Source organism: Homo sapiens, chromosome Y (genome assembly GCF_000001405.40).
Source record: "Homo sapiens chromosome Y, GRCh38.p14 Primary Assembly".
NCBI classification, from domain to species: Eukaryota; Metazoa; Chordata; class Mammalia; order Primates; family Hominidae; genus Homo; species Homo sapiens.
The window spans coordinates 1376980-1399695 of NC_000024.10; the positions used below are offsets into that span (position 1 = coordinate 1376980).

Consider the following 22716-nt stretch of genomic DNA (forward strand, 5'->3'; position numbering starts at 1 on the left):
GTGTTTTGTTTCTAAGCCGCCCAGCCTCTGGTATTCTGTGACAGCAGCCTGAGATGGACTAAGACATCTCATAAGAAGAGGAGATGAGGACACAGACACACACCAAGGGACAACCCTGTGGGACACGGAGAAGACGGGGTCTCCAAGCCCAGGAGAGAGGCCTCAGGAGGAACCAGCCCTGCCCATGCCCATCTCTTGATCTTGGACCTGCAGCTTCCAGGACTGTGGGAGAATCAATTCCTTTTTTCTTTTTCTTTTTTCTTTTTTTTCCTCTTTTTCTGAGATGGAGTCTCACTCTGTCGCCAGGCTGGAGTGCAGTGGCGTGATCTTGGCTCACTGCAACCTCCACCTCGCAGGTTCAGGCCATTCTCCTGCCTCAGCCTTCTGAGTAGCTGGGATGACAGGCGCCCGCCACCACACCCGGCTACTGTTTGTATTTTTATTAGAGACGGGCTTTCTGGCCATGTTGGCCAGGCTGGTCTCATACTCCCGACCTCAGGTGATCCGCCCGCCTTGGCCTCCCAAAGCGCTGGGATTACAGGCGTGAGCCACCGCGCCCGGCCAAATTCCTTTTTTCTGAAGCCACCAAGCTGTGGGACTTTTTTATGGCAGTCCCAGCAGACAGATCCACCCTCGTTCCAAATAAGGTTATCGTCATAGGTTCTGGGGGTGAGGTCATAGATGTATGTTTTTTTTTTTTTTTGGAGAGAGAGTCTCTCTCTATTGCCCAGGCTGGAGGGCAGTGGCGCGATCACGGCTCACTGTAGCCTCGACCTCCTGGGCTCAAGCGATCCTCTCGGGAGGCTAAGAGAGGAGAATCGTTTGAATCCGGGAGGCAGAGGTTGCAGTGAGCTGAGATAGCACCACAGCACTGCAGAGCGAGACTCTGTCTCAAAAAAAAAAAAAAGAAAAAAGAAAAAAAATAGGCCGGGTGCGTGGCTGACGCCTGTAATCCCAGCACTTTGGGAGGCCGAGGCGGGTGGATCACTTGAGGTCAGGAGTTCAAGACCAGCCTAACGAAGATGGTGAAACCCCATCTCTATGAGAAATACAAAAATTACCCGGGCGTGGTGGCGGGCGCCTGTAGTCCCAGCTACTCGGGAGGCAGGGGCAGGAGAATCGCTTGAACCTGGGAGGTGGAGGTTGTGAGCTGAGATCGTGCCACTGCACTCCAGCCTGGGCGACAAAACGAGACTCCATCTCAAAAAAAAAAAAAAAAGAAAAAGAAAAAGAAAAAATTAACACACACACACAAATTCCATGATAAACACAAAATCAAGTTCAAAGCACGCACGCCAGTGCTGCCTCTGCTGCCCCTCCATGCTGCCCACACCCAAAGCACCTGCCGGCCTGCTGGGCACAGTGGAAGTCCCTGGCGCTCCCCGTGTCCCGAGCACCAGGCAGACAGGGATCCCTGGTGGTCTTTCCGCTCCCTTAGGGTTCCAGACTGGGGCTGGGAGGTCCGGAAGTCGCTCCCGGTCCTGGTACTCAGGTGGCCTGCAGGTGGCCCGCAGGTGGTCACGGTCTCTGTGCAGGTGGCACTACTGGGGTGTCCCCCCCTGGACGCCACCCCATATGGCAGCCACCTCTCTGCTTCCCAGGGCCCCGGGGAGAGCTTACAGTCCCTGGTCCCCCCAGGACGGCCCCCGGTCTGTGACCCTCTCACCCTTTACCCCTAGAGTGCGACCAGGAGGAGGGCGCAAACACACGTGCCTGGCGGACGTCGCTGCTGATCGCGCTGGGGACGCTGCTGGCCCTGGTCTGTGTCTTCGTGATCTGCAGAAGGTGAGCCCTCGAGGGCGTCCGCGAGCGTCGCTTGTTTCCAGTGTGACCCTGAAAGTTATTCACAGAACCATCCTGAGAATTATCATTATTATTTTTGTGATGGAGTCTCGCTCTGTCTCCCAGGCTGGAGTGCAGTGGCACGATCTGGGCTCACTGCAGCCTCTGCCTCCTGGGTTCAGGCGATCCTCCTGCCTCAGCCTCCCAAGTAGCTGGGATTACAGGCACCCAGCAACACACCCAGCTAATTTTTGTATTTTTAGTAGAGACGGGGTTTTGCCATGTTGGCCAGGCTGGTCTTGAATTCCTGGACTCAGGTGATCCACCTGCCTCAGCCTCCTAAAGTGCTGGGATTACAGGCGTAAGCCACCTCGCCTGGCCCATATTATTATTATTGTTATGATTATTATTATTTTTTGAGTCTTGCTCTGTCACCCAGGCTGGAGTGCAGTGGCTCGATCTCGGCTCACCGCAGCCTCCACCTCCCGGGTTCAAGTGATTCTCCTGCCTCAGCCTCCCGAGTAGCTGGGATTACAGGTGTGCAACACTGCACCCAACTAATTCTTGTATTTTTAGTGGAGACGGGGTTTCACCATGTTGGCCACACTGGTGTTGAACTCCTGGCCTCAAGTGATCCCCCAGCCTCGGCCTCCCAAAGTGCTGGGATTACAGGCGTGAGCCACCGCACCTGGCCCCTTGAGAATTATTCACAAAAGACCAGGGGCCAGGTCCTCTCTGCTAGCTGCCCCCTGCCAGGAGGTCTGTAGAGCCAAAGCTGAGGGCTCTGGTGGGACCAAGGGTGTCCCCAGGGTGGAGGAAGCAGGGCCGGTCCTCCCCTGCCCTGCCCAGCGGGCCTGACACAGTCAGAGGGCGAAAGGCCAGGCTTTCTGGTCGGGAAGGGGCCTGGGCGAACGTCACAGCTGTCCACTTGGATGGGCCAGGATCCGTCATGCAGACCAACTCGAGGTTTTTGGTCACCAGCTGGGTCACCCCAGGTCCTGTCTCCTTTTTTTTAGAGAAGGAGTTTTGCTTTTGTTGCCCAGCCTGGAGTGCAATGGCGCCATCTCGGTTCACTGCAACCTCTGCCTCCTGGGTTCAAGCGATTCTCCTGCCTCAGCCTCCCTGAGTAGCTGGGATTACAAGGATGTGCCACCACGCCTGGCTAATTTTGTATTTTTAGTAGAGATGGGGTTTCTCCGTGTTGGTCAGGCTGGTCTTGAACTCCTGACCTCATGTGATCCACCCGCCTCGGCCTCCCAAAGTGCTGGGATGACAGGCGTGAGCCACCATGCCCGGATAATTTTGTATTTTCAGTAGAGACGGAGTTTCTCCGTGTTGATCAGGCTGGTCTTGAACTCCTCACCTCAGTTGATCTGCCCGCCTGGGCCTCCCAAAGTGCTGGGATGACAGGCGTGTGCCACCATGCCCAGATAATTTTGTATTTTTAGTAGAGATGGAGTTTCTCCATGTTGGTCAGGCTGTTCTCGAACTCCTGACCTCAGTTGATCTGCCCGCCTGGGCCTCCCAAAGTGCTGGCATTACAGGCTTGAGCCACCATGACCAGCCAGGCCCTGTTTCCTTCCTGCTGGGCATCAGAGCTTCACAATCTGTCAAATGGGTGCCATGGTGACTTCTGTCTCCCGGGGGAAGGGGGAAAAGGGGAGGGGGAGGGGGAAGGGGAAGAGGGGGGAGGAGGGGGGAAGGGAGGAGGGGGAAGGGAGGGGGGAAAGGAGGGGGAAGGGAGGAGGGGGAAGGGAAGAGGGGGAGGAGGGGGAAGGGGAGGAGGAGGAGGGGGAGGAGAGGCGAGGGGGAGGGTGGGGGAGGGGGAAGGGGGAGGAGGAGAGGGGAGGATGAGTGGGGAGGGGGAAGGAGGGAGAGGGGGAGGGGGAGAGGGAGGGGTAGGGGGGAAGGGGTGGAGGAGGGAGGAAAAGGGGGAGGAAGAGGGGGACGAGGCCCTTCCTGCAAGCTGTCTCAGGTCGTAAACTCAGTGACCTGAGGCACCAGGGGTCTGTCTTTGCAGCTGCACCCCTGGGTGGCTCCGGTACCAGCGCCCTACTCCTTTAATTAGACACCAGCGCCTGCCTATGATGATGGTCGGGGGCGTGTCAGGGCCTCAGGGGCCGGGAAAATAGAGACCCCTCGAGTAGATGACTTGAGTCTTTTGCTCTGTCCTGGCACTGTCTGTCCTGGACACGCTGTGTCCCAGATGATGAGCTGGTCGGTTTTGGGTTCAGAGCTGGGCCATTTCTCTTTCCTCCGAGGTATCTGGTGATGCAGAGACTCTTTCCCCGCATCCCTCACATGAAAGACCCCATCGGTGACAGCTTCCAAAACGACAAGCTGGTATGTTGTTTTTTCTGCCTTGGGACGGGTCTGGAGGCGTGGTGGCCACTTTGGGAGGCCCAGGCGGGCGGACCACTTGAGGCCAGGAACTGGAGACCAGCCTGGCCAACATGGAGAAACTCCGTGTCTACTAAAAATACAAAATTAGCCGGGTGTGGTGGCGGGCGCCTGTAATCCCAGCTACTCGGGAGGCTGAGGGAGGAGGATCACTTGAACCCGGGAGGTGGAGGCTGCAGTGAACTACGATCGAGCCACTGCACTCCATCTGGGCGACAAGAGTGAAATGGCCTGGACTAGGAGGCTGGACACCTGTCTGCTGGCGCTGGTGGGCGGCTGGGAAAAGCTGCAGGATGAAGGGAGTGGGGGGACACTGGGCTCCCAGCCCACCGTGATCACGGGCCGTCTCCGCACCCTGCACACCAGAGCAGAGCAGATTTTTTTTTTTTTTTTTAGATGGAGTTTTGCTCTTGTTGCCCAGGCTAGAGTGCAATGGTGCGATCTTGGCTCACCACAACCTCCACCTTCCCAGTCCAAGGTTCAAGCGATTGTCCTGCCTCAGCCTCCCGAGTAGCTGGGACTACAGGCACGCACCGACACGCCCAGCTAATTTTGTATTTTTAGTAGAGACGGGGTTTCACCATGTTGGCCAGGATGGTCTCGATCTCCTGACCTTGTGATCCCCCTGCCTCGGCCTCCCAAAGTGCTGGGATTACAGGCATGAGCCACCATGCCCAGCCTAGTTTTCAACAAGTTTTTAGTGATACCTGTGTCCCTAAGAGAAAGGAAGGGCAGAGGAAAAGGAGGCAGACATCTCTGTCAGAGTTTTTTGTTTTGTTTTGTTTTGTTTGTTTTTGTTTTTGAGACGCAGTTTTGTTCGTTGCCCCGGCTGGAGTGCAATGGTGCAATCTCGGCTCACTGCAACCTCCACCTTCCCGGTTGAAGGTTCAAGCGATTCTCCTGCCTCAGCCTCCCAAGTAGCTGGGACTACAGGCATGCACCAACACACCCAGCTAATTCTGCATTTTTAGTAGAGAAGGGGTTTCACCATGTTGGCCAGGATGGTCTGGATCTCCTGACCTTATGGTCCGCTCGCCTCGGCCTCCCAAAGTGCTGGGATTACAGGTGTGACCCACCGCGCCTGGCCCAAAGTGCTGGGATGACAGGCGTGAGACACCATGCCTGGCCCACAGAGCAGATCTGAGATGGGACAGGCCCCCGCAGATCAGGACGTGGGCTCTGTTATCTGGGGGGTGGCCGACTCACCCTGCCTCCTCTCGTCTCTGCAGGTGGTCTGGGAGGCGGGCAAAGCCGGCCTGGAGGAGTGTCTGGTGACTGAAGTACAGGTCGTGCAGAAAACTTGAGACTGGGGTTCAGGGCTTGTGGGGGTCTGCCTCAATCTCCCTGGCCGGGCCAGGCGCCTGCACAGACTGGCTGCTGGACCTGCGCACGCAGCCCAGGAATGGACATTCCTAACGGGTGGTGGGCATGGGAGATGCCTGTGTAATTTCGTCCGAAGCTGCCAGGAAGAAGAACAGAACTTTGTGTGTTTATTTCATGATAAAGTGATTTTTTTTTTTTTAACCCACTCACTGGTCCCGGTCTCTGGATTCAGCCCCATTCCTCCAACACTACTAGAGAGACTGTTTCCCCGGTTTTTTTTTTTTGGAGATGGAGTCAGGATCTGTCTCCCAGGTTGGAGTGCAGTGATGCAATCTCAGCTCACTGCAACCGCTGCCTCCCGGGCTCAAGCAATTCTCCTGCCTCAGCCTCCCAAGTAGCTGGGATTACAGGCACCTGCCACCACCCCTGGCTAATTTTTATATTAGCCGGTCTCGAACTCCTGACCTTGTGATCTGCCCGCCTCTGCCTCCCAAAGTGCTGGGATTACAGGCGTGAGCCACCACACCTGGCCTTTTTTCTTTTTTCAGACCGAGTCTCGGTCTGTCACCCAGGCTGGAGTGCAGTGGCACCATCTCAGCTCACAGCAACCTCTGCCTCCTGGGCTCAAGCGATTCTCCTGCCTCAGCCTCTCGAATAGCTGAGACTACAGGCACATGCCACCACGCCCGGCTAGCTTTGTGTTTTTAGTAGAGACGGGGTTTCACCATGTTGGCCAGGCTGGTCTGGAACTCTTGACCTCATGTGATCCGCCCATCTCGGCCTCCCAAAATGTTGGGATTACAGGCTGGCCTGTAGTCACCGAGTCTGGCCCCCCACCACCCCTGTTTGTTTTTTTGAGACAAAGTCTGGCTCTGTCACTCAGGCTGGAGTGCAGTGGCACAATCTCACCTCACAGCAACCTCTGCCTCCTGGGTTCAAGCAACTCTCCTGCCTCAGCCTCTCGAGTAGCTGGGATTAGAGGTATGCACCATCATGCCTGGCTAACATTTATTTTTAGTAGAGACAGGGCTTCTCCATGTTGGTCAGGCTGGTCCTGAACTCCCGACCTCAGGTGATTCACCTGCCTCACCATCCCAAAGTGCTGGGATTACAGAGGTAAACCACTGAGCCCAACTGGAACTGTGATTTTGATAGTACCCACAAGGCAGGATTCTCTTAAAAACAGCTATGCCACCATGTATTACTGTCTATGAAGTTATCTCCAACACTCAGCTTGCTGAGAGCCTCAGCATTTCAAGATTGTGCAGGACTGGCCAGGCACAGTGACTCATGCCTGTCATCCCAGCACTTTGGGAGGCCGAGGCGGGCGGATCACGAGGTCAGGAGATTGAGACCAGCCTGGCTGACACGGTGAAACCCTTGTCTCTACTAAATACACAAAAAAAATTACCGGGCTGTGGTGGCAGGCGCCTGTAGTCCCAGCTACTCAGGAGGCTGAGGCAGAGAATGGCGTGAACCCGGGAGGTGGAGCTTGCAGTGAGCTGAGATTGCGCCACAGCACTCCAGCCTGGGTGACAGAGTGAGACTCTGTCTCAAAAACAAAAAAACAAAATTAGCCGGGCATGGTGGCGGGCACCTGTAATCCCAGCTACGTGGGAAGCTGAGGCAGAATGGCTTGAACCTCGGAGATGGAAGTAGAGTTGAGCCGTTACCACACCATTGCAGTCCTGCCTGGGTGACAAGAGACTCCATCTCAAAGAAAAAAAAAAATCAAGGAGTAAACTTGTTGGTCTTTGAATTGTAACTTTGGAGAACCTCCCCGCCACTACCGAATTCCCCAAAGTCCAGTGTACCATGTAGGATTTCACTTGATCCGCGGAGGAAACCATGCCCCAATTACTAGGTTAAAATCTATTAAGTGCCGGGCGCGGTGGCTCACACCTGTAATCCCAGCACTTTGGGAGGCTGAGGGTGGATCACCTGAGGTGAGGAGTTCGAGACCAGCCTGACCAACACAGTGAAACCCCGTCTCTACTAAAAATACAAAAATTAGCCGGGCATGGTGGCGGCTGCCTGTAATCCCAGCTACTTGGGAGGCTGAGGCAGGAGAATCGCTTGAACCCAGGAGGCGGAGGTGGCAGTGAGCTGAGATTGCGCCACTGCACTCCAGCGTGGGGGACAGAGCAAGACTCCGTCTCAAAAAAAATAAAAAAATAAAAATAAAAAACTATTAAGTATCAGGAGTGAAAATACATCCAAGAGTGAATGAAGCAGTGACCACAGCTCCAGGCAGGAACTCGGAGCCCAGGTCCCCGTGGGTCGAGGCTGTTTTGTGGAGGGTGTGCAGGACCCACAGGGCTGATGGTGGAAGGTCCTGCTTTGCCACTTGCCTCTGGGCCGAGTCACGTGACCAAGACGAGGGCTCACGGAGCTTTCCTGATCTCTGATATCATCGGGACACAAATGAGGGTTTCTACCTGGCCAAGTGCAGAGATGTAGAGTCTGCCTTTCGGGCCAGGAGCGGTGGCTCATACCTGTCGTCCCACCATGTTCGGAGGCTTAGGTGGGCGGATCATTTGAGTCCAGGAGCTCGAGAGCAGCCAGGTAGGTAAACATGGTGAAACCCCATCTCCACTAAAAATACTAAAATCAGCCGGGTGTGGTGGCGCATGCCTGTAGCCCCAGCTACTTGGGAGGCTGAGGCAGGAGAATTGCTTGAACCTGGGAGGCAGAGGTTGCACCACTGTACTCCAGCCTGGGCGAGAGCGAGACTCCATCTCAAAAAACAGATTCTTTTTACTATGGCTGGGATTTCTGGAGAGCACGGGAGAGCCGGCTCTGGAACCCCAGGGCTGTAGTCTCTGTGGCCCTGCCGTGCGCTGACACCAAGGCCCAAGGTTCGGCCCGGTAGAGATTCAACACGGCTTTTCTTGCCCCGCAATGAATGTTTGAGCAGAAAGAGCTTGAAGGAAGCTGTCGTGCCTCGCGGTGGGTACCCCTTGTGGTGGATTCTCACGGGTGAACCCGCGGACACACAGCTGCCACTCTGGGGACCCCGACCGACTCCACTGTTCATGCTGGAATGGGGGCTGGAGTGGCCCTCGGGAGCTACAGGAGGTGGAGAGGAACGCAGGGTGTCACGCCTGTTTCAGTTTCCCCAAGATTCACGCTGAAAACGCCCCTCTCCCAAGTGATGGCGTTGGGAAGTGGGGGTCTTTGGGAGTCATGAGGCCTCATGGATGGGATCAGTGCCCTTACAGAAAGGACTCCAGAGAGCACCCTGGCCTCATCCATCATCTGAGGACACACAGGGAGAAGGCGCCATCTAGAAGCCAGGAACTGGGTACTCACCAGAGACTGAATCTACCATACCTTGGTTTTCTGGGACCTCCAGCCTCCAGAGCTGAGACATGAGATCATACAAATGCTCTCAGAGAGGGTACAGTAAGTGCAGGTGCCCTGGGGTCCTCCAGCATTTATCAGGGAGCCCGGCTACACTTCTGCCAGCCTTGGTTTCTACCCCCCGCCTCTTCCCAGCTGTGACCCTGCCCTCTGTGCCCCAGGGGTGCTGGGGAGGAGGCAGCACTGCAGACCAGGAACGTGGGCCAGCCACGGGCAGAGCGTGGCCCCATCTGCGTCCCGTGGGCCCAGCGCCCATCTCCAGACCCCAGGCCGCCCTGTGGAGAGGTGCGTGGCCAGGCAGGAGGACCTCTGCGTCCTCTGTTTATTGTTTTGCAGCAGGAGGCCCAACATAGAACATACTCGCCAGTACTCGGCTGTGCAAAACAGGGGCTAGCGCTGAAGTACAAATGGGAAAACGTGATTCTTTTGTTTTAAATAAATACTTAGAACACGACTTGGCTCCTACAAGCATCTGGACTCTAGGTCTCAGTACTGGAGTGTCTCACCCATGGGCCCCACGCAGGGACGCCACGGTTCCCTCCCACCCCGTGATCAAGACACGGAATCGGCTGCCGATGGTTGGATCGCAATGCGCCCCTTTTCTAGAGCCTTCCCCGGCCATCTACAGGCAGGATGCGGCTGGGAAAAAGACAACTGGAATTTCTCGAAGGTTGATGGTCCGCACGGTTGAGGATTCTACGTGGTTCTCTTGGTTCCCCTGGTGTGTGTGTGTGTGTGGAGGAGGCCGCGGCCCTTAGATCACCTTCTTGAGCTCGTCGTACAGGACCAGCACGAAGGCGCCCCCCATGCCCCGCAGGACGTTGGACCACGCACCCTTGAAGAAGGCCTTGCCCCCCTCATCTCTGAAGATCTTCCTCCAACAGTCGACGGTGCCCGTGTACATGATGTCAGCTGCAACGACAGGGAGACAGTGAGGGCCTCGCCGCCAAGCTCTTCAAGACACGGACGCCACCTGCACCCACAAAGACGTTTCACAGAAATAACACCCCAGACGCCTGAGCCACAGTTCTGATTACAGGAGGGATACCTGAGGCTCCCCCAGCTCAAGCCCTCCTCCTAAGCCACTGTCTCAGGGAGGGCTGGACACAGGACTTCAGGCCCCGCCCTGGGTGTCCCCCATCTCCACCCCGGGGTCCATGCAGAGAAGGCAGGATCGAGGGTGTGGGTGCAACCAGAGGTTCTAGGAGGCGGGGATTTAGAAACTGCCGCCCGGACCATGAAACCCCAAAAAGATCAGAAGCCCATCGTTCAGGAAAATCCTTCCACACAGCCAGGTTACTTTCGGACACACTTGCTTGTCTCACACGCCCTGGAAGTGCCTCCTTTGATGGTTCCTGACCTCCCACGGGCCTAGGGCAAGGAGCTTGGTTCCCCTTCCCGGCAGCAAGGGTCCCCCGCCCCCCCGAGTACCTCCTTTGCGCCCGGACTGCATCATCATGCGCCGCCGCACCGTGTCGAAGGGGTAGGACACCACGCCGGCCACGGCCGTCACGGTCTGCGCGATCATCCAGCTCACCACGATGTGCGTGTTCTTGGGGTCGGGGAGCATGCCTGCGCGGGAACGGCACGTCACCGTCTCCAGCGCCTGCACGGCCACCCGAGACCAGGGTCGGCCCCCAGGGTGTGCTCACGGCCCCCTGAGGTGGTGCCGAGCTCTTCCGAGACCACCAGTGCCCCCTCCACGTGGCTGCTCAGTGCCAGCTGACGTTTACAACACGAGAGGTCGGGGCAGGGCCAGAGGGGAAAAGGCCGCCTGCCACCTACCGGAGCCCAGCAAGACAGTCCCAGAGGCCGGGGTTAGGCCTGTTTGGGGAAGGGAATAGGGCCCTGACCTTCTGAAGGGTCACCGTTACTATGGGAGTTACACTCTGTCCTCAAAATCCACATGCTGAAGTCCCACCCCCACCCCAGGACCTCAGGATGCAACTGTACTTGGATATAAGGTCTTGAAAGAGGTAAGACTAAAGGAGGCCAGTAGGGTGGGCCCTGATCCTACGACCCCAGTGTCCTTCTAAAAAGAGATGAGGACACAGACACACGGAGGGATGACCCTGTGAGGACACAGGGAGAAGACGGTGTCTACAAGCCAAAAAGAGAGGCCTCAGAAGGAACCAGCCCTGCCCACTCCTTGATGTCAGACTTCCAGCCTCCAGGACTCCGGGAGAATCAATGTCTGCTGTTTATAAGCCACCCAGTCTATAGTATTGTTTTAGGAGCCTGAAATGGACTAAGACACCTCATAAGAAGAGCAGATAAGGACACAGACACACACAGAGGGATGACCCTGTGAGGACACAGGGAGAAGACGGCGTCTACAAGCCCAGGAGAGAGGCCTCAGGAGGAACCAGCCCTGCCCCACACCTTGATCTCAGACTTCCAGACTCCAGGATTATGGAAGAATCAATGTCTGTTGTTTACAGTCCACCCACTCTATGGTATTCTGTGATAGCAGCCTCAAATGGACTAAGACATCTCATCAGAAGAGGACACGAGGACACAGACACACACAGAGGGACGACCCTGTGAGGACACAGGGAAGACGGAGTCTCCAAGCCCAGGAGAGAGGCCTCAGGAGGAACCAGCCCTGCCCACACCTGGATCTCAGACTTCCAGCCTCCAGGACTGTGGGAGAATCAATGTCTGTTGTTTCTAAGTCACCCAGTCTATGGTGTTCTGGGATGGCAGCCTGAAATGGACTAAGACATCTCATAACAAGAGATGAGGACACAGACACACACACAGGAAAAAGCCTGAGAAGACAGCATCTCCAAGCCCAGGAGAGAGGCCTCAGGAGGAACCAGCCCTGCCCATGCCTTGGTCTCAGACCTTCAGCCTGCAGGACTGTGGGAGAATCAATGTCTGCTGTTTACAATCCACCCAGTCTATGGTATTCTGTGATAGCAGCCTGAAATGGATTAAGACATCTCATAACAAGAGGAGATGAGGACACAGACACACACAGAGGGACGACCCCGTGAGGGCACAGGGAGAAGACGGCATCTACAAGCCTAGGAGAGAGGCCGCAGGAGGAACCAGCCCTGCCCACACCTGGATCTCAGACCTCCAGCCTCCAGGACTGTAGGAAAATCAATGTCTGTTGTTTATAGTCACCCAGTCTATGGTATTCTGTGATAGCAGCCTGAAATGGATTAAGACATCCCATAAGAAGAGAGGATGAGGACACAGACACACACAGAGGGATGATGCTGTGAGGGCACAGGGAGAAGACGGCGTCTCCAAGTCCAGGAGAGAGGCCGCAGGAGGAACCAGCCCTGCCCACACCTTATCTCAGACCTTCAGCCCACAGGACCCTGGGGGAACGTCTGTGTGTTGAGCCCGTCTCTGGGACTTCGCGATGGCAGCCACACGTACCCTTGGCCGTATCGTACACGCCGAAGTAGGCCGCCCGGTAGATGATGATGCCCTGCACGGAGACACTGAAGCCCTGGTACAGGCCCCGGATGCCGTCGGACTTGGTGATCTTCACCAGGCAGTCTCCCAGGCCTCGGAACTCGCGCTCTGTGCCTGACTTTCCCACGTCCGCTGCCAGGCGGGTTCTGGCGAAATCCAGCGGGTACACGAAGCAGAGGGAGGTCGCGCCGGCCGCACCGCCGGAGGCCAGGTTGCCCGCAAAGTACCTCCAGAACTGCGTGTGCTTGTCCACGCCCCCCAGGAAGATCTGCTTGTACTTATCCTTGAAGGCGAAGTTGAGGGCTTGAGTGGGGAAGTAGCGAATGACGTTGGCAAGGTTGCCCCTCCAGAAGGACAGCACGCCCTGCTCCTTGGGGATGCGGACAATGCAGTCCACGATGCCCTTGTACTGCTTGTCGGCGGCGATCTGCTTGCTGGCGTGCTGGACCTGGGGGACGCAGAGGGTGTTCAGACCAGACCCAGGGCCAACCACCCAGAAACATCCCAGCTACAGGGTGCATCCTTTTTTTGACACAAGTCACTCTTGTTGCCCAAGCTGGAGTGCAATGGGGTGATCAAGTGATTCTCCTGTCTCAGCCTCCCGAGTAGCTGGGACTATAGGCGCCCACCACCACGCCCGGCTAATTTTTTTGCTTATTTAGTAGAGACGAGCGTTCCACCATGTTAGTCAGGATGGTCTCGATCTGCTGACCTCGTGAGCCACCGCACCCGGCTCTTTCTTTTTTTAAAAAGACAAGGTCTCATGCTGTTACCCGGGTTTGAGTGTAGTGGTGCGATCTCACCTCACTGCAGCCTCCAACTCCTGGATTAAGCCATCCTCCCGCCTCAGTCTCCCGAGTACCCGGGTCTACAGATGCACAACCATCAAGCTCCACTAAGTTGAAAAATTACTTTTAGAGATGGAGTCTTGCTACGATGACCAAGCTGCTCTCAAACTCCTGAGCTCAGGTGATCCTCCCTGGGCCTCTTGAAGCGCTGGGACATCCCGCCCTGCTAAGTTTAAAAAAATTTTTTAAGCCGGGCACAGTGGCTCATGCCTGTAATCTCAGCACTTTGGGAGGCTGAGGTGGGTGGATCACGACGTCAGGAGATCAAGAGCATCCTAACACGGTGAAACCCTGTCTCTACTAAAAATACAGAACATTAGCAAGGTGTGGTGGCAGGTGCCTGCTAGGGAGGCTGAGGCAGAATGGCGTGAACCCAGGAGGCGGAGGCTACAGTGAGCCGAGATCGTGCCACTGCACTCCAGCCTGGGCGACAGGGAGAGACTCCATCTCAAAAAAAAAAAAAAAGGTTTTTTTAAGATGTGGGGTCTTGCTATGTTACTCTGGCTGGTCTCAAACGATCCTCCCTGGGCCTCTCCAAGTGCTGGGACACCCCGCCCTGCTAAGTTTAAAAAATTTTCTTAGAGACGGGGTCTTGCTACGTTGCCCTGGCTGGTCTCAAACTCCTGGGCTCAAACGATCCTCCCTGGGCCTCTCCGAGTGCTGGGACACCCCGCCCTGCTAAGTTTAAAACTTTTTCTTAGAGACGGGGTCTTGCTATGTTGCCCTGGCTGGTCTCAAACTCCTGAGCTCAGGCGATCCTCCCTGGGCCTCTCAAAGTGCGGGGACACCCCGCCTGCTAAGTTTTAAAAATTTTCTTAGAGATGGGGTCTTGCTATGTTGTCCTGGCTGGTCTCAAACTCCCGGGACACGCCACCCTGTACTAGGTTTAAAAAATTATCTTAGAGATGCGGTCTTGCTCTGTTGCCCAGGCTGGTCTCAAACTCCTGAGCTCACGCGATCCTCTCCGGGCCTCTCAATGCACTGGGACGTCCTGCTTCGTTAAGTTAAAATAATTTTTTTTGAGGTGAGGTCTTGCTGTGTGGCCCCGGCTGCTCTCAAACTCCTGGCCTCAAGCAATACTCCCCGGGCCTCTCAAAAGCGCTGGGATCGCGGGCGTGACCTGTCCTTGCAGCCAAGCCTATTCATTCCCATCACCGAGCTGTCACTCGGAGTACAACGTTAGCAAGGACGTCCTGGCGGCAATGTTCCTAGGCATCATGCTACTTTCTATAAGCCTCTCCCAAAAGACAAAAAATGCATTGCTCTGGATCAGAATTGCACAAATGAGCTAAGAAGGGGGTAAGAACCACCAATAACCATATCCTGGTTATTCCAGGACACCTGCGGGCAGGCTCGTTGCCCTATTGGCCTTAGAATTACCCTTCACGGTGGAGGGAGCAAGAGCAGACACCTGCCAGGCATCCACCGGAAGGGTTGGTCCCAGCCGGGGGACCCGCAGGATTGAGCTCAAGGTCAAGGCCCGCCAGCCGCAGGGTCCGTCCATGGGCCCTGCTCAGCGCGCATGCGCCCTCCAATCCGTGCCGCATTTCCCCCCGCCCGCCGGGCCCAGTGCGCACGCGTGGACGTCGCCACGCCCTGCAGCAGCGGTCACGTGACGCGGCCCCCGGAAGCCGGCGGCGCGTGGACAAAGCGATCGCGGCCTTCCACTTCCGGCGCCCGCCTGCAAGGCTCTGCTGCCCACGTCCCCGCCCGACCCGGCCACTCGGTTCCCGTCCCCTAGTCCCCGGAGCGGCCGCGCCCGCGTCCCCACCTGCAGCAGCAGCTTGACCCGCTCGATCGGAGCCACGGCCGTCTTGGAGATGGCGGCGGCGATGCCTCCGGCCAAGAAGTCTTTGGCGAAGGAGATGGCCTGTTCCGTCATGGTGGCAGGGCGGGCAGCGGAACGGGAGGACAGCCGGAGAACGGGCGCGGAGAGTGAATGGAGGGCGTCGCTGGCTCAGCCCTGCCGCCGCCTGGACCGAAAGGACGGAGCAGCCACCGCGCAGCCGCTAAGACGCCGACGCCACGCCCACTCTCCGCCCCCGCGCCTCCTCGCGCCGCGCTCATTGGCTGCGCCGCCAGGCCCCGCCCCACACCAGCCTGCGTGCCTCGCCTCTGAGGGCTGCCGGGAATCCCGCTGCGTCCCGCCCCGCACTCCAGCGAACCGCGCCCATTGGCTGCGCTCCCCGGAGACGTCCCGCCCCGCACCCCTAGGTATGCCGGGAGCCAGGCCCCGCCCATGCGCCGTAGGGGCCGCTGGGGGTTCCGCGGCAGCCTTGACCTTGTGAAGGTCAGGCCGCTGCCAGTACCCGAGCGGGCGGGAGGGCAGCTGCGGAGTCAGAAGCCCACCCTGATGCCCAGTTCGCTCCGAGTGCGTCGTCCGCTTTCTCCCGGAGGCCGCGGCGACCCCGCCGGGATGTGCGACATGTGGTGCCCCGACCCCCGACCCTTGACCCTTGACCTCCGGGCAGCTCCGACCCTTTCAACACTCTCCGGGGTCGTGCGTCGGGAGACCCCGGCCCCTGCCCGCGTGCACCCGGGGGGCCCCGCGCGAAGCCTGCGGCGGCTTCCACGTGGGCGCGGCTCAGTCCCGCTGCCGATCCGTGACTCCGCGCCGCCCTCCGCGCCCGGCCTAGGTTGGTGGGGGGGGGATCTCTCTGGGCCTCCGTTCTTTGACCCCGCGGTGCCCTCCGCGCCGGGGCTGGGGGTTCCGTGGGCCGCGCCCACCCGCCCGGGCTCCCCTATTTCCCCGTGTCTGTGCCCGTGTCTGCCCGGCGGGGGCTGCGGCCGGGGTCCTCCTTCGCGACCTCCCACTCCGCCCTTCCTCCCTCCCTCCCTCCCTCCCTCCCGCCTCCCTCCTCCCTCCCTCCCGCCTCCCTCCTCCCTCCTCCCGCCTCCTCTCCCTTCCCGGCTCTCTCCCGCCCGCCCTTTTCTCCCCGTCTCTTCCTTCCCTGCTTGCCTTTGCTTTTTGCTGCTTTCCCGCCTCCCTCCTTTTTCTCCGTCTTTCCGTCTCTGCCTTCGTTTCCCTCCCTCCCTTTTTCTTTCATTTCTCTCTCCCTTTCTCCTTCCTTTCTTGCTACGTTTCTTCCCTCTTTTTCATTTTTTTCCTTCCTTTTTCTGCTTTTCTCCCTCCGCCCTTCCTCTGTTTTTTCTTTGCTCCCTCCCTCTTTTTTCTCCCTCTTTCCGTCTCTCCTTCCCTTTTCCTCTTTCCTTCCCTTCCTCCCTTTTCTGCCTTTCCCTCCTTCCCTCTCTTTTCCTTTTCCTCTTTATTTCCTGTCTCCCTTCCTCTCGTCCCTTTCTCCCCTCTCTCTTTTCCGTTTTTTTTTTCTTTTGAGACAGAGTTTCGCTCTTGTTGCCCAAGCTGGAGTGCAAGCTCCGCCTCCCGGGTTCAAGCGATTCTCCTGCCTCAGCCTCCCAAGTAGCTGGAATGACAGGCATGCGCCACCGCGCCCAGCTAATTTTATATTTTTAGTAGAGACGGGGTTTCGCCATGTTGGTCAGGCTGGTCTCGAACTCCGGACTTCAGGGGATCCGCCCACTTCGGCTTCCCAAAGTGCTGGGATGACAGGTGTGTGAGCCACCACGCCTAGCTGTCTCTTTTCCATTTTTTAATTTTTTTTTCATTTTTCCTCTCTCCCTTTGCCTCTCTTTTTCTTCTTCCTTTTATTCTTTCCTGTCTTGTTCTTTCCTTCCTCTCTGTTTCTCCCTTTCTCCCTGTTTTCCTTTTTTTTTTTTGAGATGGAGACTTGTTCTGTCACCGAGGCTGGAGTGCAGTGGCGTGATCTCAGCTCACTGCAACCTCTGCCTCTCAGGTTCTAGAGATTCTTGTGCCTCAACTTCCCAAGTAGCTGGGATTACAGGTGCCAGCCACCCCACCCGGCTATTTTTTTTTTTAAGGACAGATGGCGTTTCACCATGTTGGCCAGGCTGGTCTTGAACTCCTGACCTCAGGTGATCCGCCCACCTCGGCCTCCCAAAGTGCTGGATTACAGTCGTGCGCCACTGCGTCCCGCCTCCTTTTCTTTTTTCTTCTCTCCTCCGTCTTTTTCTATCCTACCTCCCTGCCTCTTTCCTCTCTCCTCCCTCCTTTTCCTTTTTCTTCTCTCCTCCCTCCCTCCTGTTTTTCTCCATCATTCCCTCTCCCTTCCTTTCTTTTTCTCCCGTTCCCCGTTTGCCTCCCTCCCCTTTTTCTTTCCTGTCTCCCTGTCTCCTTTGCTCTTTTCCTCCCTTTCTCCCGTCCCTCCCTCCCCGCCTTCCTTTTCACTTCTTTCCCTTCCCATTGCTTCCTTGCGTTTCCTGCCTTTCCCTGTCTCTCCCTTTCTTTCCTGCCTTTCCCTGCCTCTCTCTTTCCTGCCTTTCCCCATCTCTCCCTTTCCTGCCTTTCCCTGTCTCTCCCTTTCTTTCCCTCTCCTCCCACTCTCCCTCCTTCCTCCCTTCTTTTCTTTCCTCTTCTTTCCCTGTGTCTTTCTTTTTTCTTTCCTTCTCTCTTCCTTTTCTCTCCCTGTGTCTTTCTCGCTCTTGTTTTTCCTTTCTCTCCTTTGTGTACTGAGAAAATGACAGTCCCCGGCTGTGGGTGGGCAGGAGTGACCCGCCCCAGAGAGCGGGGTCACCCTGGGTGACTCCTGGGTGCAGCTGTGAGCCCTGCCTGAGGCTTTTCCTGACCTCTGGGGAGGGCGGCTCAGCCTGGGGCTGGAGGTTGGGGCCAGCTCTGGAGGCTGGAGTGGCTGCTGGGCGGCGGGACGGGTGTCTCAGAAGTCACTGAGGCATGGGTAGGTCTAACCTTGGGACATTGCTGTGGGGAGGGCTGTGGAGACCAAGCACATTCCTGAGGCTCTGCCAGGGCAGCGGGGGTGGACAGTGTCCCCTGAGGACCCAGGACCAAGCCAGGCTCGCTACAGGGGTCCTGGAATAGAGGACAGAGGCCAGGAGCGCTGTGGGTGCTGGGCAGGGGTGGGGAGTTTGCTGGGGAGCTGCGCCTTACAGACCTGTGTTTGTTTCCCAGCCTCAGCGAGGCCGGGCTGGACGGGGCCCTGGTGCTGGTTTTCAGTGCCTCAGCGAGGCCGGGACCAGAGCTGCTATTTCCAGATGAGGCTGGCTCGCATCTGCTCTGGCCGGGGCTCCAGGCCTGAGCCCTGCAACACGGCGTTCCCTTTCCAAGTCTGCAAAGCCTGTCTTAGGGGAGAGAAGAAGTTTCCTTCCATGCGGGTGGGGACGGCTAACCATGTCCAGACACTGAGACCGGTGCTCTGTGTGCTCAGCCTTCAGCCTGCACTGGCTTGGTGGCTTGGTGACCCGCCAGCAGGGTGGTGCTGTCTGTGGGCTCTGCTCAAGCTCCTCTCAGAGCCAGGAGGATGCCCGCCTGCTTGGGCCTGGCTCCCAGGATGTGCTTGGCAAATGCTTCTGGGATGGATGGATGGATGGGTGAGTGGATAACGGATGGATGGATAATGGATAGATGGATAATGGATAGATGGATGGATGGATGGATGATGGATGGATGGATAATGAATGGGTGGGTGGATGGATGGATGTGCTCGATCGGCAAATGCTTCTGGAATGGATGGATAATTGGATGGGTAATGGGTGGGTGGATGGATAATGGATGGATGGATGGATAATGGATGGATGGATGGATAATGGATAGATGGATGGATAATGTATAGATGGATGGATGATGGATGGATGGATGGATAATGGGTGGATGGATGATGGATAATGGGTGGATGGATGAATAATGGATGCTTCTGGGATGGATGGATAATGAGTGGGTGGATGGATAATGAATGGGTGGATGGACAGATGGATAGATGGATATGTTTGCTTGGCAAATGATTCTAGAATGAATGGATGGATGGATAATGAATGGGTGGGTGGGTGGATGGATGGATGCACTCTGTTGGCAAATGCTTCTGGGATGGATGGATGGATAATGGATGGATAGATGGATAATCAATGAGTGGGTGGATGGATGGATAGATGGATGTGTTTGCTTGGTAAATGATTCTGGAATGGATGGGTGGATGGATGGATGGATGCGCTCGATCGGCAAATGCTTCTGGAATGGATGGATAATTGGATGGGTAATGGGTGGGTGGATGGATGCATGGATAGATGGATGTGCTCACTCAGCAAATGCTTCTGGAATGAATGGATGATGGATGGATGAATAGATGGATGGATGGATGAATGGATGGATGGATGGATGGATGAATGAATTGCTAATTGGGGCTGTTTTTCCATACAGAGTGCTGCACGTGGGACTTAGCCTTGGACACTAACTCCTTTGCCCCTCGTATCTGGGAGGGAACAACACAGTTGCTATGCCTGACTAGGGCATGACCTGGGAGGCCTTTGGGGCCACACAGCCTCCTTGGGAAAGGAGGATCAGGTGGGCCTCACACCCAGGAATTGGAAGTGGGAGAGACAACAGCTGCTGGGTAGTGGGGGTAGAGCTGTGTCTCTCACTGCCCTGCCCCTCCAAGGACCAAGAAGAAAGGAATGAGCCCCGATCCGCCTGCCAGGTACCCACCCATGAGAACCCCTTCTCTGCCAGCATCTGATAAAATTACCTGCGTAGCTTTAGAGATCACTGCTGCCTGACCAGCAGCCGCTCTGCTGGAATCTGTCCAGAAAGCCCCTTGGGGCTCAGAAAAGTAGGTGGGTTAATAATAGAAGTAGATGTGGGTTTTTTTGTTTGTGTGTTTATTGAGACGGAGTCTTGCTCTGTGGCCCAGGCTGGAGTGCAGTGGCGTGATCTCGGCTCGCTGCAATCCCTGCCTCCCAGGTTCAAGCATGTCTTCTGCCTCAGCCTCCCAAGTAGCTGGGATAGCAAGTGTGCACCACCACGCCTGATTTTTGTATTTTTAGTAGAGATGGGGTTCCATCCATCCATTCCAGAAGCATTTGGCAAGCACATCCTGGGTGCCAGGCCCAAGCAGGCTGGTCTCAAACTCCTGACCTCAAGTGATCCGCCCACCTCGGCCTCCCAAAGTGCCGGGATGACAGCTGTGAGCCACCGCGCCCCGCCCAGAAGCAGAGGTGTTTTAACGGGAAGACTTCAGGCTTCATCGGACGGCCGGGAAGGAATCAGAGCAGGGGTGAGGTTGGCTTTGTGCGGGGTGGGGTGGGGTGCCAGGCTCTGTGTCGGGTGGGGGCAGCAGCACATCTTTTGTAATTAATCATTGCCGAGGCTCTGCCTGTACGAAGTGTGGTCCGGGGAGGGCTGATGAGGCTGCAGGATGAGGGGGCTTGACAGACCCCTTTCCCCAGAAGAGGGCCCCCAAAAGGCATTGCCCCTGAAGAGGGCTCCCCAAGACCTCATCCCTGAAAAGGGACTCCCAGGGTCACCCCCCTGAAAAGGGCTCCTCAAAAGGCCCCCCGAACGGGGTCCCCCCAAGACTGCCCTCTGAAGGAGGCCCCCGAAGACTTCCCCCGTGAAGGTGCCCCCCAAGACCTGCCCCCTGGAAGAGGGCTCCCCAAGACCTCTCCCCCTAGAAGAGCCCCCTAAGACTTTTACCCTGGAAAAGGGCTCTCTGCAAAGCTTCCCTGGACGTGCGCCTTCGAGCTGGGCAGGTAGGGAGGAGCTGTGTACTCGACATCATCCTTAGGATCTGTTGTCCTCCCGCTTCCCCTGCCCCGGCCCCCAGATGAATCCAGAGGCTGTTTTAGAGCCAGACGGACACTCCTGGTATGCACCAGACACTCATAGTGCAGTGCTCGCTGAGTAGAGGAGGAGTTAGTGGGTGAACCCGGCCCGCCAGGCTGCCCTGCACAGAATTCCAGCCTTGTCACCCCACTGGTTTTTAAATCATCACAATCCTCGGGATGTTCTGTGCATGCCACACACAGACTCTTAAGAGTCCAGAGGTCCTGTTTTTGCACAGTTACTCCAATGAATAAAAAGACGGGCTGGGCGTGGTGGCTCACGCCTGTCATCCGAGCACTTTGGGAGGCCGAGGCGGGGTGGATTGCCTGAAGTCAAGAGCTGAAGACCAGCCTGGCCAACATGGTGAAACCTCGTCTCTACTGAAAATACAAAAAAATTAGCTGGGCGTGGTGGTGGGCGCCTGTAATTTTAGCTATTGCGGAGGCTAAGGCAGGAGAATCGCTTGAACCCGGGAGGCGGAGGTTGCAGTGAGCCGAGATCACACCACTGCACTCCAGCCTGGGCGACAGTGAGACTGTCTCAAAAAAAAAAAAAAAAAAAAATTTCTAGCAGACACTGAAGGGAGAGGGAGAGGAACAAGCCCCAGGGACCCTTTATCCGACTTCCTTCCACCTGGGGGACTCCCTCCACGGGCCCTTGCTTTAAGGGCAAATGGCGAGGGCACCAGAACACAGGGAGGCCATGCCGGAGGTCCCTGCTGCAACCATGCGGCCCCCCAGCTCACTCCCAGCAGCCAAGACGAAGGGGGGCCTGGGCTCCCCCTAGGGCAGGCGCCTCTGATTCTCTCCACCGAGAGGCACCTCCCATGCCGGCCTCTTCCTGGGGTGACTCCCAGAACCTTCTTGGACCCATGAACATTTCAATCTGGGGTGGGGCCTTCCCTGGGCATCCAAGTGGTGGGAATCTGTCCCTAGCCCCTAGAACTCCTGGAGGGCTGGGCCCACCTCTGTCTGCATCCCGTCCCCATTCCCCGCCCCGGGTGGCAGGGGCTGGAGAGGAAGGAGCTTCAGGCTTCAAAACCATCAAAGCAGGTTTCTTCCGAGATGGCCAGTGGTCACCTGAGATGGAGCAGAGAGCACCTGTGGCGGGCATCTTCTCTAGAAGCCGCCTGTGAGCCCTACGGAGGCCCTGGGCTTCGTGCCGTAAGACAGACGGTGTCCTGCAGGTACGTGGGGGAACCCTGTAGGCAGGGACTTTGCCTGCTTTCTCAGAACAGGACAGAGGAGTTTGGCTGGGGCAGCCCGAGGTGACCGGGATGCTGTCGCCCCAGCTCTGGGCCAGGCTGATGTGGGAAGGGAGGAAGGAGGGACAGTTACGGGCCAGGCTGACGTGGGAAGGGAGGGAGGAGGGAGGTAGGAGGGACAGAGGCCTGGCTGCTCTGCAGGGCTGGGCTCCGTGGCATCTCCTGGTGGCTGTCAGGTCCTGCCTGGCCCCACGCTGAGGCCAGTGTGATGGAGGGGCCTGGAAGCCTCATCCTTCTTGATTGCCACGCGGTGAGGGCCACAGGCATGCGCCACCGCACTGGACTCCCCCTTTCATCATCAAAGCCAAATTTTCTTCTTGTTTCATCTAGGCCTCCCATGGAGACACCATGTGTGATTGTAAAAAAAAAAAAAAAATGAGTCAGGCCGGGCACGGTGGCTCACGCCTGCAATGCCAGCACTTTAGGAGGCCGAGGTGGGCAGATCACCTGAGGTCAGGAGTTCGAGACCAGCCTGGCCAACATGGTGAAACCCCGTCTCTACTAAAAATAGAAAAATTAGCCGCGTGTGGTGGCGCATGCCCGTAATCCCTGCACTGTGGGAGGCCGAGGTGGGCGGATCACCTGAGGTTAGGAGTTCTAGACCACCCTGGCCAACATGGTGAAACCCCGTCTCTACTAAAAATACAAAAATTAGCTGG

General features: G+C 56.9%; 3 protein-coding genes and 2 long non-coding RNA genes across 27 annotated transcripts in view, besides 4 other annotated features; 3 read left to right on the forward strand and 2 right to left on the reverse strand.

The window, feature by feature from the left end:
• Window positions 1-1497, reverse strand: part of LOC101928032 (uncharacterized) — a 41505-nt gene extending 40008 nt beyond the window's left edge. For all 16 annotated transcript variants that reach the window (XR_007068475.1, XR_001756028.2, XR_007068474.1 and 13 more), the window contains exon 1: window positions 1343-1497. This is a non-coding gene — a long non-coding RNA (uncharacterized LOC101928032). The remainder of the gene's footprint in view (window positions 1-1342) is intronic.
• IL3RA (interleukin 3 receptor subunit alpha) overlaps window positions 1-5710 on the forward strand; it is a 45905-nt gene extending 40195 nt beyond the window's left edge. For all 7 annotated transcript variants that reach the window (NM_002183.4, XM_005274781.2, NM_001267713.2 and 4 more), the window contains 3 exons: window positions 1680-1785; window positions 4044-4125; window positions 5412-5710. In NM_002183.4, coding sequence (NP_002174.1) covers window positions 1680-1785; window positions 4044-4125; window positions 5412-5486 — 263 coding nt within the window. In that variant the 3' untranslated portion in view covers window positions 5487-5710. The remainder of the gene's footprint in view (window positions 1-1679; window positions 1786-4043; window positions 4126-5411) is intronic.
• Window positions 9173-15134, reverse strand: SLC25A6 (solute carrier family 25 member 6). The gene is made up of 4 exons (NM_001636.4): window positions 14920-15134; window positions 12262-12748; window positions 10300-10440; window positions 9173-9780 (listed from the first exon to the last, which is right to left on the reverse strand). The coding sequence occupies exons 1-4, from the start codon at window positions 15028-15030 to the stop codon at window positions 9623-9625; spliced, it is 897 nt and encodes a 298-aa protein (NP_001627.2). The 5' UTR covers window positions 15031-15134; the 3' UTR covers window positions 9173-9622.
• Window positions 14398-14993: an enhancer, noted in NCBI's record as "NANOG-H3K27ac-H3K4me1 hESC enhancer chrX:1510270-1510865 (GRCh37/hg19 assembly coordinates)". NCBI's record gives its function as "activates a minimal SCP1, AML or CMV promoter by ChIP-STARR-seq in naive and primed H9 embryonic stem cells {active_cell/tissue: H9 hESC(naive and primed)}" and the evidence as "EXISTENCE:reporter gene assay evidence [ECO:0000049][PMID:30033119]".
• Window positions 14994-15588: an enhancer, noted in NCBI's record as "NANOG-H3K27ac-H3K4me1 hESC enhancer chrX:1510866-1511460 (GRCh37/hg19 assembly coordinates)". NCBI's record gives its function as "activates a minimal SCP1, AML or CMV promoter by ChIP-STARR-seq in naive and primed H9 embryonic stem cells {active_cell/tissue: H9 hESC(naive and primed)}" and the evidence as "EXISTENCE:reporter gene assay evidence [ECO:0000049][PMID:30033119]".
• Window positions 14994-15634: a biological region, named in NCBI's record as "NANOG-H3K27ac-H3K4me1 hESC enhancers GRCh37_chrX:1510866-1511460 and GRCh37_chrY:1460904-1461506".
• LOC124900597 (serine/arginine repetitive matrix protein 1-like) lies at window positions 15014-19902 on the forward strand. 2 transcript variants are annotated; one of them, XR_007068469.1, is made up of 4 exons: window positions 15014-15362; window positions 18151-18569; window positions 19393-19536; window positions 19631-19902. XR_007068469.1 is itself a non-coding variant. In XM_047442787.1 (3 exons), the coding sequence occupies exons 1-3, from the start codon at window positions 15014-15016 to the stop codon at window positions 19411-19413; spliced, it is 789 nt and encodes a 262-aa protein (XP_047298743.1). In that variant the 3' UTR covers window positions 19414-19902. The 2 variants fall into 2 exon arrangements, 1 of the variants encoding a protein (XP_047298743.1); XM_047442787.1 differs by having other exon boundaries at window positions 19393-19902.
• Window positions 15032-15634: an enhancer, noted in NCBI's record as "NANOG-H3K27ac-H3K4me1 hESC enhancer chrY:1460904-1461506 (GRCh37/hg19 assembly coordinates)". NCBI's record gives its function as "activates a minimal SCP1, AML or CMV promoter by ChIP-STARR-seq in primed H9 embryonic stem cells {active_cell/tissue: H9 hESC(primed)}" and the evidence as "EXISTENCE:reporter gene assay evidence [ECO:0000049][PMID:30033119]".
• On the forward strand, window positions 20046-22433 carry LINC00106 (long intergenic non-protein coding RNA 106). Its single transcript, NR_130733.1, has 3 exons — window positions 20046-20245; window positions 21846-21979; window positions 22388-22433. It is a non-coding gene; the product is annotated as a long intergenic non-protein coding RNA 106 (long non-coding RNA).